The sequence below is a fragment of the Homo sapiens genome, chromosome 17 (genome assembly GCF_000001405.40).
Source record: "Homo sapiens chromosome 17, GRCh38.p14 Primary Assembly".
In the NCBI taxonomy this organism is placed as follows: domain Eukaryota; kingdom Metazoa; phylum Chordata; class Mammalia; order Primates; family Hominidae; genus Homo; species Homo sapiens.
This window is the reverse complement of record NC_000017.11, coordinates 59,217,427-59,232,436: the sequence shown is the minus strand read 5'-3', so window position 1 is coordinate 59,232,436 and position 15,010 is coordinate 59,217,427. Positions and strand designations below refer to the sequence as shown.

At 43.2% G+C, this 15,010-nt stretch overlaps 1 protein-coding gene across 3 annotated transcripts in view, besides 1 other annotated feature; it reads right to left on the bottom strand.

Annotated features, from left to right (window-relative positions):
- GDPD1 (glycerophosphodiester phosphodiesterase domain containing 1) overlaps positions 1-11,926 on the bottom strand; it is a 55,460-nt gene extending 43,534 nt beyond the window's left edge. For all 3 annotated transcript variants that reach the window (NM_182569.4, NM_001165993.2, NM_001165994.2), the window contains exon 1: positions 11,686-11,926. In NM_182569.4, the coding sequence (NP_872375.2) occupies positions 11,686-11,827 (142 nt within the window). In that variant the 5' untranslated portion in view covers positions 11,828-11,926. The remainder of the gene's footprint in view (positions 1-11,685) is intronic.
- Positions 11,350-11,900: an enhancer, noted in NCBI's record as "H3K27ac-H3K4me1 hESC enhancer chr17:57297898-57298448 (GRCh37/hg19 assembly coordinates)". NCBI's record gives its function as "activates a minimal SCP1, AML or CMV promoter by ChIP-STARR-seq in naive H9 embryonic stem cells {active_cell/tissue: H9 hESC(naive)}" and the evidence as "EXISTENCE:reporter gene assay evidence [ECO:0000049][PMID:30033119]".

Here is a 15,010-nt window from a genome sequence, read left to right as displayed (position 1 = left end):
GCTCTGTCACCCAGTCTGGAGTGCAGTGGCGTGATCTCGGCTCAACGTAACCTCCGCCTCCCAGGTTCAAGCGATTCTCCTGCCTCAGCCTCCCAAGCAGCTGGGACTACAGGCATATACCACCACACCCGGCTAATTTTTTATTTTTAGTAGAGATGGGGTTTCACCATATTGGCCATGCTGATCTCGAACTCCTGACCTTGTGATCCGCCCGCCTTGGCCTCCCAAAGTGCTGGGATTACAGGCTTGAGCCACCGCGCCCAGCTTGTACTGACAAATTCTGAAGGCAATTTTTTGTATATGTAAGGAGGTCAGACATCATTTTTTTCTCACTTTGTCGACATATGGCATCCTTAAAAGTCACCAACTTGTTCATTATCATCGCTAAACATAGTCAAAGGCCAGAGTTGTGCCAGACATGCACAAATTTATCTTTATTCACTGATTTCCAAGCATTGGCAACAGTATACAAGACATCCTTCATGCTAAACTCCTTTTGAAAACTTTCTGGCAGGGCATGGTGGCTCATGCCTATAATCCTAGCATTTTGGGAGGCTGAGGTAGAAAGATCGCTTGAGCCCAGGAGTTTGAGACCAGCCTGGGCAACACAGCAAAAATAATTTTAAATAATTTTATGCATGAAACAATGTTTGTGTACCCTGAACCATCAGAAAGCAAAGGAGTCAACGATGTTAGTCATCCATGGGGACAATCTGCAGTTGTCTTAATTTTAAATAAAAAAAACTTAAAAAAGAACAAAAGGTCACACCCACACCTCTGTTTATCACTGCTTGCACAATAAAATGTTTTTGGCTGGGCGCGGTGGCTCACGCCTGTAATACCAGGACTTTGGGAGGCCAAGGCGGGTGGATCATGAGGTCTAGAGATTGAGACCATCCTGGCTAACATGGTGAAACCCCGTCTCTACTAAAAATACAAAAAATTAGCTGGGCATGGTGGTGGGTGCCTGTAGTCCCAGCTACTCGGGAGGCTGAGGCAGGAGAATGGCGTGAACCCGGGAGGCAGAGCTTGCAGTGAGCTGAGATCGTGCCACTGCACTCCAGCCTGGGCGACAGAGCAAGACTCCGTCTCAAAAAAAAAAAAAAAAAAAAGAAAGAAAGAAAATGTTTTCATATTTACTCTCATTGATCCAAGCATAGCCTGGTCACATGGAATTACTAAAGTCACGTTTAGGGGAAAGTACATGGCATAAACATTATTTTTGATGAGAATGTCAGCTGGTGGATAAGCAGAACAGTTATCAAGGAGTAACAAAATCTTGCAGTTGTCATCCAGTCCAACTTGCCAGCAGTGAGCACGAGCCGCTGGTACAAAATGTTTGTGAAACCAATCAGAAAAGATGTCCCTGGTGACCCATGCATGCCTTTTTGGTAGCATAACGGACTGGTAAGAAATTCACTCCTTGAAGACAGTGAGGAAGGAAGCTTTTGCCTACCACAGCAAGTTTACACTTATGCATGCCTGCTACATCAGCATATCCTAACACAGTTATTCTGTCATTGGCATCCTTAATTTCCATCTCATCAGCTGCAGTCAGTGTCTTTCTGGGGCAATAATGCCAAAAGAGTGTTGTTTCATCAGGATTATAGACTTGTTCTTGTGTCAGATTTTCAACAGCAATGACCCTGGCAAACTTGTCAATGTATTTCTTTGCTGCTTCGTGACCAGCAGATGCTAATCACCTTTAATCTTTAAAAATGTAATGCCATGTCTTCTCTTAAATTTCTGCAACTGGGCCGGGCATGGTGGCTCACACCTGTAATGCCAGCACTTTGGGAGGCTGAGGCAGGCGGATCACCTGAGGTCGGGAGTTCAAGACCAGCCTGACGAACATGGAGGAACCCCAGCTCTAATAAAAATACAAAATTAGCCGGGCATGGTGGCGCATGCCTGTAATCCCAGCTACTCGAGAGGCTGAGGCAGGAGAATCGCTTGAACCCGGGAGGCGGAGGTTGCAGTGAGCCAAGATCGCGCCATTGCACTCCAGCCTGGGCAACAAGAGCAAAACTCCATCTAAAAAAAAAAAAAAAAAAAAAAAAAAAAAATTCTACAACTGGCCTGTTCAATATTCACAGTTCCTTTCATTTTAACTTCATCGCTTGAGATCTTCATTTTAGCTTTATGCAGTTTTTCTATTTTTAATTAACTTCTGTTCATCACTTCCACTTTATATATACTACTTCTGATATATATAAAACTTCAACAGTTTATCCTTCTTTTTCTTCAGGTCATATATAGTGGTCATTCTAATACCATATCCTCTGTAAGGTATTTCACACTTACACCAGTGTTCAGTTTCTATAACACCTTGACTTTCTGTGCTATAGATAAACATAAATGTTACCTATTTTTCTCATCACTATAACCCATAGGGGTATCTGTGGTCCTTTTTGATATTTTCACATCTTTATACCAAAGAGCAGAGAATAAGCAAGCAAGCAAGCAAACAAAAACACACAATAAATAATGCATATAGGTCTTGGCACCATGTAGGGCATCATGGGGAATCTGCTGTTGGTGTGATCAGTCTGAACATGTGCCATTTTATTACCCTTTGTGGGCACGCTTGCATAAGGAAACCTGGACATACTCAGAAAAGATATATTGTAACTGAAGGGAGCTGGAAGAGTCTTTTTTCCCTTGGGGACGCTGAATAAGCCGTGTGTTGTTTGCTTTTGTTTTGACTGCAACCTGTCACATGAGGTCAGGTGTGGAATTCGTTATATATATATTTTTCTTTTTAAAAAATTTATGGCTGGGCGTGGTGGCTCATGCCTGTAATCCCAGCACTTTGGGAGGCCGAGGCGGGCGGATAACCTGAGGTCCAGGAGTTCGAGACCCACCTAGCCAACATGGTGAAACCCCCATCTCTACTAAAAATACAAAAATTAGGCCAGGCGCAGTGGCTCACGCCTGTAATTCCAGCACTTTGGGAGGCCGAGGCGGGCAGATCACCTGAGGTCAGGAGTTCGAGACCAGCCTGGCCAACATGGCGAAACCCCATCTCTACTAAAAATACAAAAATTAGCTGGGTATGGTGGCAGGTGCCTGTAATCCCAGTTTACAGGCACTTCTGTGTCAAAAAAAAAAAAAAATTTAGCCAGGCATGGTGACGGGCATCTGTAATCCCAGCTACTCGGAGGCTGAGGCAGGAGAATCACTTGAACCCAGGAGGTAGAGTTTGCAGTGAGCTGAGATTGCACCACTGCACTCCAGCCTGGGCGACAGAGCGAGACTCTGTCTCAAAATAATAATAATAATAATAATAATAATAATAATAATAATAATAATAACAATTTGAGGAAAAAAATTTTTTTCCTCATGTTATTTTTTACTAGGAATTTTCTACTTGTGGAGTTATGTCTGTGCTCAAAAAGTTTCAGATTTTGGAGCATTTCAGGTTTTCAGATTAGGGAAGCTTAACCTGTATTTTGAATTTTTTTTTAGCTGCAACAGTAGAAATCAAAAATCAAAACACAGCCACAGTAACACAGGAGGGTTAAAACAGAACCTAAACTGATTTTTTTTTTTTTTCTGAGACAGGGTCTCACTCTGTTGCCCAGGCTGGAGTGCAGTGGCATGGTCGGAGCTCACTGCAGCCTCAAACTCCTAGCTCAAGCAATCTTCCAGTCTCAGCCTCCCAAGTAGCTAGGACTACAGGCACATGCCACCATGCTCAGCTAATTTTTTTTTTTTTTAGAGACAGGGTCTTACTATGTTGCCCAGGCTGGTCTCAAACTCCTAGACTCAAGCAATCCTCCTGCCTCAGCTTCACAGTGCTGGGATTACAGGCATGAGCCACTGTGCCTGGCTGGCCTAACCATGATTTTTAAGCTATAATATCCACTTATTTGTCAAAGGAAAGACAGAAGAGGATTTGGTACACATAAGTCTCCTCAGACAGAGTTAAACAGTCTCTCCTCTGTATCCCCATAGTCTCTTATGCATAGCTCTACTAAGGCATTTATCATATTATGGCATAAATTATTTACCTGTTTCTCTCCTCCCATTCCCATGAATTGCTTAAAAGAAGTGACTGTGTTTTAATCACCTTGACTGAAGGCAGTATAGTCTAGTGGTTAAGGGTGAGACTCTGGAGTTTTAGGATGCTTGGTCTCCAATCTGTTTAATAATTGTGTGACCTTAGAAAAGCTACCTAAGAAACTTTCATAGAATTGGTATAATCAAATGAGTTAATATTTAAACTGCTGTATTTTATCAATTTTTTTTTTTTTTTTTTTTTTTAGATGGAGTCTTTCTTTGTCACCCAGGCTGAAGTGCAGTGGCACAATCTCGGCTCACTGCAACCTCCACCTCCTGGGTTCAAGCAATTCTCCTGCCTCAGCCTCCTGAGTAGCTGAAACTACAGGCGTGCGCCACCACACCAGGCTAATTCTTTTGTATTTTTAGTAGAGACGGGGTTTCACTGTGTAGGCCAGGCTGGTCTCAAACTCCTGAGCTCAAGCAATCCTCCCACCTCGGCCTCCCAAAGTGCTGTGATTACAGGCGTAAGCCACTGTGCCCAGCCATTCAATTCTAAAATGATAACTTTTCATTTCTTAACATCTCTGAAGTTAAGATGTATTTTACAATTAATGCTGTATAATGAACAGTTTAATTGGCAAGATTTTCTCTCTTATTTTAAATCAACTTTTATAGAGGTCTCTTTCTTAACAGTATGTAAAAATTGTGTATTTATAACCAATGGCATTAGATTCAATGAAATACTAGAGTAAACATTCCATGAAAGTAAAGGATTATTGCTATTATTAGAATTATTATTACTATTGCCATTATCATAGTAACTGGTAAAGAATAGGTACTTGGTAAATGTCCATTAACTGCAATAATAAATAATATTGTAATTTTTAAAAAAGGACACAGATTTTGATGTGAACATATTGAATTATAAAATATTGTCTAATATTATATACTATGTAAAAAGAGTTAACTAACTTTATGCATGCTACCCAAAAGTTTTAAATTTTTTTTTTTTTTAGTTGGAATCTTGCTCCGTCGCTCAGGCTGGAGTGCAGTGGTGCAATCTCAGCTCACTGCAACCTCCACCTCCTGGGTTCAAGTGATTCTCCTGCCTCAGCCTCCCGAGTAGCTAGGACTGTAAGCACATGCCACTATACCCAGATAATTTTTGTATTTTTAGTAGAGACGGGGTTTCAACATGTTGGCCAGGCTGGTCTCAAACTCCTGACCTCAGGTGATCCTCGGCCTCCCAAAGTGCTGGGATTACAGGTGTGTGCCACCATCACCAGCTTAAAATGTTTTAAAACTAAAACATTTCAGTGTTACCAAATAATTGATGAAATATACAGAAAAATACTTTGGAAATAATTTTCCATACACTTTGGAAAAACAGTCAATTTCTTCTTAATAGAAAGAGACAATTCAATAAACTCTCAATAAAAAGGTACTGCTCAGGGTGGGCGCGGTGGTTCATGCCTGTAATCCCCACACATTGGGAGGCCGAGGTAGGTGGATCACCTGAGGTCAGGAGTTCAAGACCAGCCTGGCCAACATGGTGAAACCCCGTCTCTACTAAAAATACAAAAAAAAAAATTAGCTGGGTATGGTGGCAGATGCCTGTAATTCCAACTACTCGGGAGGCTGAGACAGAGAATTGATTGAACCCAGGGGGCGGAAGTTGCAGTGAGCTGAGATCGCGCCACTGCATTCCAGCCTGGGCAACAACATCAAAACTCCATCACACACACACACAAAAGGTACTGCTCAAAGTACCTAAAGGACTTAAGTATTAGCATTAAAATGTTTTATATACAATACCATCTGAACATATTTGTATTAAATTTTTCTTCTTTTATATTGTTAGGTTGTATTTTTATGATGACCTAATTAATAATCAACAGAAATACAAGATATGCAGAAACAAATACATTAGCTTTAATATGCTAAAATTTTATAACTTTAGCAGAGGGAAGATACCCACGTAAAAACAAAAAACTACTAGTTTGATTTTAGGTTCACTTGGTTACTAGAGTTGATGCATGATAGAAAACAGATGCAGTAAATATGAAGGGTATAGGTTTTTTTTTTTAAGTCTCCTTTCAAGGTTAGATAACCCTTTACTGGATGAGGCTAGTTGGCCCTTGTTTTGATCTAAAACTATGGAAATACATTATATTCAGATAATATTCAAAAACAAAGCACCACAAAATATTTCTAAAAAGACAAGAGTGCTAAAGGGGTTACCAGTAAGTTAAGTTAAACTACTGACCACTTGTACCAAAGAGCAAAGAAATTAAAAGAACACAAAAGCCAGCTTGAAGGACCTCTCACTGGACAAATCTGGGACAGTGCTAGCATCAAAATAATGATAGTAAACAGATTTTTAAATCAGTGAATAAGAAATTCTGAATCCAGGCTGGGCACGGTGGCTCATGCCTGTAATCCCAGCACTTTGAGAGGCAGAAGCTGGTGGATCATCTGAGGTCAGGAGTTTGAGACCAGCCTGGCCAACATGGTGAACCCCATCTCTACTAAAAGTACAAAAATTAGCCGGGCATGGTGGTAGGTACCTGTAGTCTCAGCTACTTGGGAGGCAGAGGCAGGAGAATCACTTGAACCCTAGAGGTGGAAGTTGCTGTGAGCTAAGATCCCACCACTGCACTCCAGCCTGGGAGACTAAGCAAGACTTCGTCTCAAAAAATAATAATAAAATAAAATAAATTTTGAATCAATTTTAATAAATGGATTGATAATTTGTTAAGGAATTGGGTATTTGTGTAGTTTTAAAGTATCTCCCTCCAAAAATTGGCCGAGCACAGTGGCTCATGCCTGTAATCCCAGCACTTTGGGAGGCCGCGGTGGGTGGCCTCTTATTAATTATGAGCCTTTTCTCTTATTAATTATAAGGAGAAAAAGTAACCTCACAGTGGAAAAGCTTGGCAGACACCACCTCATCAAGTGATCAAAGTCAACTTCATTAGTTCCTTCAAGCTGATTTCTGCATCCTTTTAACTACCTTGCTTTGAAAATAGGCCAGGTGTGGTGGCTCATGCCTGTAATCCTAGCACTATGGGAGGTGAGGCAGGCTAATTGCCTGAGCTCAGGAGATCGAGACTAGCCTGGGCAACATGGCAAAAACCCATCTCTACTAAAAATACAAAAAATAAAAAATAAAAATTAGCTGGGCGTGGTGGCACCACCTGTAACCCCAGCTATTCAGGAGGCTGAGGCACCAGGATTACTTGAACCTGGGAGGTGGAGGTTGCAGTGAGCCGAGATCATACCACTGGACTCCAGCCTGGGCAACAGAGCAAGATTCCATCTCAAAAAAAAAAAAAAAAAAAGAAAAGAAAGAAAATAATAAACACATTATATGTTAAAATAACATTTTTATGAAAAGTAACTGTTTTTCTAAATAAAATAATGTATGAAAAGAGTGGTATTGTTTTATATTTTTGCAAATCTCTTTAATATCTGACTTAACAGAAAGCAGCAAGATTCTCATATCTGCTTCATATATACCCATTGTCACACAGATATGTAGTTGGAAATGAGTCTTCTTTGATATGGCATCAAATTTCAATAAGTGGTAATTTGTTTACTTTACAGACAGGGTCTTGCTATGTCGCCCAAGCTGAAGTTCAGCGGCTATTCACAGGCACGATCATAGCAACAACCTCAAATTCCTGGGCTCAAGTGATCCTCCTGCCTCAGCCTCTCAAATAGCCGAGACTACAGGTAGGCACCATCACACCCGGCTCAACAAGTCGTAGTTTTTTTTGTTTTTGTTTTTTGTTTTTTTTTTTTTTTGAGATGGAGTCTCGCCCTGTCGCCCAGGCTGGAGTGCAGTGGCGCGATCTCGGCTCACTGCCAGCTCCGCCTCCCGGGTTCACGCCATTCTCCTGCCTCAGCCTCCTGAGTAGCTGGGACTACAGGCGCCCGCCACCACGCTCAGCTAACTTTTTTTGTATTTTTAGTAGCGACGGTGTTTCACCATCGTTAGCCAGGATGGTCTCGATTTCCTGACTCCGTGATCCGCCCGCTTCGGCCTCCCAAAGTGCTGGGATTATAGGCATGAGCCACCTTGCTCGGCCCACAAGTGGTAGTTTCTTACAAGTGGTAGTTTCTTAAAAGGTCATTGCAATATGGAATTTGAACCATATGAGTAATCACTTCATACTCTATTATGTGAAAATCCATTGGCCCATCTTGAACTTTGAATGATCTTTCACCCATGCATGATTTTATAATAGCATGCATAAATCATTTGGAAACTATTGATTCATTGAATCATGCTGGTCTTCTATATGTTGACACGGTATGCAATATTTTAAAAATCACATTTGTTAACATCTGAGTTCATTAGGAAAGTCTTTAAGAATTAAATGATGTCAAGCTCATCATGATGGCAGTGATTGCATCACTGCCCTCCAGCCTGGGTGACAGAGTGAGAACTTGTCTCAAAAAAAAGGTGGAGAGAGAAAGAGCCATCTGTCCATCTGTGATTCAACCCCTCGGAGTGCCCTGACGGAGTCTCGCACTGTCGCCTGAGCTGGAGTGCAGTGGCACCATCTCGGCTCACTGCAACCTCCGCCTCCCAGGTTCAAGTGATTCTCCTGCCTCGGCCTCTTGAATAGCTGGGATTACAGACATGTGTTTTTGCAGTAGACATAATATTCTAGAAATAGAGTAGATATTCAAGTTTTAGGTTATGTCAATTCAGTTGCATATACTTTATACACATAACATGATTAATGTTTCAATGGTCACATATCTAATTTACAAGAAATATCACTGTTTCCTTACTTATAGGGAAAAATAAGTAAATATCAGGTATTTGCAGTTATGGCAGTAGAGAATAAGCCCAAATTGCACAGAGAGACCAGTGATTGCTATTATCCGTGTCGAAGACAAAAATTAAAGGCAATCAATGGAGTGATTCCTTCCTAGTTACATTGTCTCTTATTTTCCAGAGACGTAGTATCTTGAATTACAAAGTGTTTTATCTCCTCTATCACTCTGGATTCAACTGGAGTATTGAGTGTACATATTCAACAAAAGCATATGAAGCACTGACATGGGAACTTACCACAGTGTTTATAGGACCATTATATAGGTAAAACAGATTTTGAGTCTGCAGATATTTAATAAGATTATCACAAAAAGTTCCATTACATCTTTAAATATATAAATACTGATGCCGCATTTACAAATAATGAATGGAAATTTTTATATAAGAGGTAATATTGAAATGACCTAATATCTAGGAAGAAAATAGTTTTAAAGTATTTTCAACAGTAAACGAAAATTTGAGGTCTAGCTTATCCTGGCTTTGATACTTGTTGTGATAATCTAGCACACAGTCTTTAACGCCTATGGAGTGCTGGGTTTTTTCACCTGCAGAGTGTTGCAAAATTTCAAAGATCGACAAGTATTTCTTCTAAAATAAAATTTTGATCATTCACAATGACAGTTTAGATAGCTTTTTAGAGGATCTGGTTTTGTTTTGTTTTGGAGTTTTTAGTAAGCATACTTTTTGTAAATCGGTAAACAACAAACAAAAAAGTAATGTGTACTGCCTATCCCCAGAATAGGACTACTATCATTGAAAATTGCCTCTGGCAGGGTGCAGTGTCTCACGCCTGTAATCCCAACACTTTGGGAGGCTAAGGCGGGTGGATCACCTGAGGTCAGGAGTTTGAGATCAGCCTGGCCAACATGGTGAAACCTCGTCTCCACTAAAAATACAAAAATTAGCTGTGCGTGGTGGCGGGAGCCTGTAATCCCAGCTACTCGGGAGGCTGAGGCAGGAGAATCGCTTGAACACAGGAGGCAGAGGCTGCAGTGAGCCAAGATGGCACCACTACACTGTAGCCCGGGCGACAAGAGGGAAACTCTGTCTCAAAAAAAAAAAAAAAAAAAAAAAAAAGGCTGGGCACTGTGGCTCACGCCTGTAATTCCAGCACTTTGGGAGGCCGAGATGGGCGGATCACGAGGTCAGGAAATCGAGACCATCCTGGCTCAGACAGTGAAACCCCGTCTCTACTAAAAATAAAAAAAATTAACTGGGTGTGGTGGCGGGCGCCTGTAGTCCCAGCTACTCGGGAGGCTGAGGCAGGAGAATGGCGTGAACCCGGGAGGAGGAGCTTGCAGTGAGCCGAGATCGCGCCACTGCACTTCAGCCTGGGTGACAGACCGAGACTCCATCTCAAAACAAACAAACAAAAAAACAAACAAACAAAAACACAAAAAGAAAAAAGAAAATTGCTTCTGTGACAGCAACTTGAATACTAAAAGTCGGTCCCTGGTTCCAATGGTTGAAGGCACCTTAGTAGTTAAATGTCATCCTACAGTTTAACCAGGTAGCTATTAAAACAGATAACCCAAATAAACAATAACAAGGCATTTGGCTGACCACCCTTTAAAACCTCTGAGGCTTTTCATGAGTGGGAAGGCTAGAATACTATTGAAGTCACTCATTAGAACTATGCTTAACTAATAAAATTATATAGAAGAATGATAATGTACTTCCGTATTTATATTTCAAAACCTTTTTCCTTGGCCAATACTTGTTAGTAAAGTGATTATGGTACTACACCAAGTTTTAGACTGTAAACTCCTAGAAATTATCATTTCAAGTGTGTATTAAATTTCAAGCAAATTTTAAACCGGTTTAAGATTCAGCCTTAAAGAACAGTTAAAATTGATTGAAAATAATCCAATTTCACCGCACTTTATACATCATAGTTGAAATGCAATGAAGACACATTATTACACAATAATGAAGAAGCAAAGATTTGGCCTGTTATCTGGGAAATTAGAGGGTGGACTACCTGGGCTCCTTTTAGCAAAACACTTTTCCAAAAGAAACTTATTTTTGTTTTCTTTAAACAATACTGTCCTGTCCTAAACGAAATCATTTTTAGTCTGTTGAAAATCCACGTGTCTTTGCGTGTTTATTTATTTATTTATTTATTTATTTATTTATTGCAGTGTTCAAAAAAAAAAAAAAAAAGATGCAAGGTTTCCAGCCCTGAGGACCAGGACGCTGTAGCTCCTGTCTCAGTTCAGCCCTAGCTCTAATTGTGACCTTGGGAAATGTCCCTGGCTCGGGGGACTCGGTTTCCCTCTCTTCTCAATTATGAGTGCTCGGAACGTGGGGGTGGGACGGGCCCCCAGCACCGCAGACAAGGGGTTACAGCTCGTCCAGCTTCATGCAAATCCCCAGCCCTCCTCGTCGCCTCGGCTCTTCCCATCCACTCAGCCACTAGCTCGCTCGGAGCAGTGTGCTCCCGGTGCCCCCCGCGGGGTACCCTCGGTTCTGCACGGCGCTCCCCCTTTGTGTCTTGCTGCTAGGAAGGGACCTTGCGATCATCCTTCCATCCGCCGAGAAACGCTCCACCTACCCTTCATTCTCGACCGTGTCTTTCCCGTTTCAGAGAACCCCTCACACTGCTGCCCTCGAGAGACCCCCGCCGTGGCTCTGACCGGGAATCCCTCTCCTTCCCTCCCCTCAGGAGACCTTCCCTTCACACAGCCTTCACCTCCGGAAGAGCCCTCAATTCACACAACCCCATTCTTCCTCAAACTCTCAGGGATTGGCACCCGGCTGCCTTTTGCGGAGCCGCAAAGGACCCTCAGCCTCCCCCACCTCCGTCATCGGGTTCTGGGGACCCCTCTCACCTCCGCGGTGAGAGATGTGTTTACTGAGGAATCGCTGCTTCTTTCTCTGGTGCAGCAAGGTCGGGTATTTAAGCAACAAGAATGAGGTCACCAAGTATCCTCCTAGCGTAGAGAGAAGGTAAAAAGCCGCAGTGGACGACATCTCAGTCACCGTGTGGGAAGTCTCCCACCTCCGGGCCCTCTGAACTCCGCTGCGGCAGTAGCAACGACGGCGGCGGCGGCGGCTGCTCGAGGTCGGCTCGCCCCCAGCCGGTGCCACTGGTGCAGCGCACTTGTCGGTGCCGGCCTACTGCGCACGCGCAGCTGGACCCCAGCGCCCCAGCAACAAAGAGGCTCCGACGCGCAGGCGCTCTCCGGCTCCCGTGTAGGAACCTGCAGAGATCCTGGACTGAGCGTTTGTCACCTAGCTCTGTGGACGGACCCTCATGAAGAGAAAGCTTGCAAACCTGCCAGTGTGTTGGCCATCACTCAAGCAGAAAAGACTATTCACGGGCAGCCTTTCCTAATTGGAAAATCCACATCAAAAAGGAAAGATTCCAGGGCGCGTCTTATCCCTTGCTCTAGAAAATGCAAATAATTTGTACCTATGGAGGCGATAAAGCTTGCTAAAACACTAAATAAACTCCTCCGTTTATCTAGCCTAGAGAGAATTTCCCCTATGGTCGCATATACTAGAAAAGGTACTGGTTTATCAGTCAAATATCTGAGAGATCGGCCCCTGTCCTCCCTCATTTCATTGTGAAAGTGCAATCCTCATTCTTTGTACACAATAGGCACTGTAGAAGTATTTGTTGACTTACAAGTCCGTATAAAATAAGGAAACTTTGTTAAGGTTATAAGGTATTACCTAAAAGTCCTAGAAAGACAGATAACTAAGTTCCAGAAGGCCCTACTAGTTTTCCTTTTACCCGACAAATTACAAACTGCTAACACACGAAAAGCCACACACTTCAATGCAAAAGAAATAAATCACCCAGGACTGAGGGAGAAATTTTACGGAGAAGACCATATCTCCCACAGGACTAGAAAAGCAGAGTGAATATTTAAAATCCTGATTCAGCCGGGCGCGGTGGCCCACGCCTGTAATCCCAGCACTTAGGGAGGCCGGGAAGGAAGGGTGGATCGCTTGAGCCCGGGAGTTCGAGACCAGCCTGGGCAACATGGCGAAACCCCATCTCTACAAAAAATAAAACAAAATAAGCCCGGCGTGGTGGCGTGCACCTGTAGTCACGCTACTTGGGAGGCTGAAGTGGGAGTATTGCTTGAGCCTGGAAAATCGAGGCTGCAGTGAGCTATGACTGCACCACTGCACCCCAGCCTGGGCGACAGAGCAAGACCCTATCTCAACTATAAAAAGAAAATTAGAAGAAAATAGGGGGTGGCTGGGCACGGTGGCTCAAGCCTGTAATCCCAGCACTTTGGGAGGCTGAGGCGGGCAGATCATTTGAAGTCAGGAGCCTGGCCAACATGGCGAAATTCCATCTCTACTAAAAATACAAAAATTTGCCAGGGGTGGTGGCGTGTGCCTGTGATCCCAGCTACTCAGGAGGCCGAGGCAGGAGAATCTCTTGGACCCGGGAGGCAGAGGTTGCAATGAGCCGAGAAGGCGCCACTGCACTCCAGCCTGGGTGACAGAGCGAGACTCCGTCTCAAAAAAAAAAAAAAAAAAAAAAAAAAAAAAAAAAAAAAAAATTCCTTTAGTCGAGGTTGAAGTGAGCCTTGATGGTGCCACTGCACTCCAGCCTGGGCAACAGAGCAACATTCTGAGGAAACTTACAGGTTAAAAAATCATGTGTTCTGTTTAGGGCTGTTAAACTATTTCCTGTAGATCAACTGACGCACATAGTTCTATTTTTCAAAATATCACCTGATGACTATGGAAGCGTCTAGAATAAACCACTGTGGCATAAAAATTATTTTGAGGCTGGGCATGGTGGCTCACGCCTGTAATCCCAGCACTTTGGGAGGCTGAGACAGGCAGATCACCTGAGGTCGGGAGTTCGAGACTAGCCTGGCCATCATGGTGAAACCCCGTATCTACTAAAAATACAAAAATAAGCCAGGCATAGTGGTGCATGCCTGTAGTCCCAGCTACTAGGGAGGCTGAGGCAGGAGAATGGCTTGAACCTGGGAGGCGGAGCTTGCAGTGAGCCAAGATCATGCCACGGCACCCCAGCCTGGGCGACAGAGCAAGACTCTGTCTCTTAAAAAATATATATATATTGAGCTGAAGGCATTTAAGTTCCTGGAATCCCTTATCAACCTAAAATCAAAGGCTCCCAGAAGAACTTAACTGTCATAAATCTCCTCCCTGGGAACAATTCTAATCCTGTCAGAGATGAGAGACATTGTCACAAAAGTATGACATCTCATGGGTATTCTCCTAAGGACACATTTATGTTTCCAAAAAATCATTTCTTTTTCCAAAAAGTGCTTTCTCCCCAGCTTCTAAGAAGTCATTTGTTCTTCTGGAAGTACCCCCTACCCCTTCCCACCCGTAAATTTTAGATTATATATAAACCTCAAATTCTAACCGCTTTTTTTTTTTTTTTAGACAGAGTCTCACTCTGTGGTCCAGGCTGGAGTTCAGCAGTGCCATCTCGGCTCACTGCATCCTCTGCCTCCCCGGGGGTTCAAGTGATTCTCCTGCCTCAGCCTCCTGAGTAGCTGGGGCTACAGATGCGCACCACCGCGCCTGGCTAATATTGTGTGTGTGTATATTTTTCTTTTCTTTTCTTTTCTTTTTGAAAAGGAGTTTCGCTCTTGTTGTCTAGGCTGGAGTGCAATGGCACGATTTCAGCTCACCACAACCTCTGCCTCCCGGGTTCCAGCGATTCTTCTGCCTCAGCCTCCCGAGTAGCTGGGATTACAGGCATGCATCACCTGGCCCGGCTAATAGTAGAGACAGGGTTTCGCCATGTTGGTCAGGCTGGTCTCGAACTCCCGACCTCAGATGATCCACCTGCCTCGGCCTCCCAAAGTGCTGGGATTACAGGCATGAGTCACTGGGCCCGGCTAATTTTGTACTTTTAGTAGAGATGGGGTTTCACCATGTTGGCCAGACTGGTCTTGAACTCCTGACCTCAAGTGATCTGCCCACCTTGGCCTCCCAAAGTCCTGGGATTACAGGTTCATTCTTATATTTTCTAAGAAGACAGAACAACAGGAAAAGTATGAATTCAAAGTCAGAGTTCTGAATTCTTTTATTATTTTATATAATTTTCTTTTAATGAAGGCGAGAGAAGAAAGAGGAGCATTTACTTTTTTTTTTTTTTTTTGAGATGGAGTCTCACTCTGTTACCCAGGCTGGAGTGCAGTGGCGCAA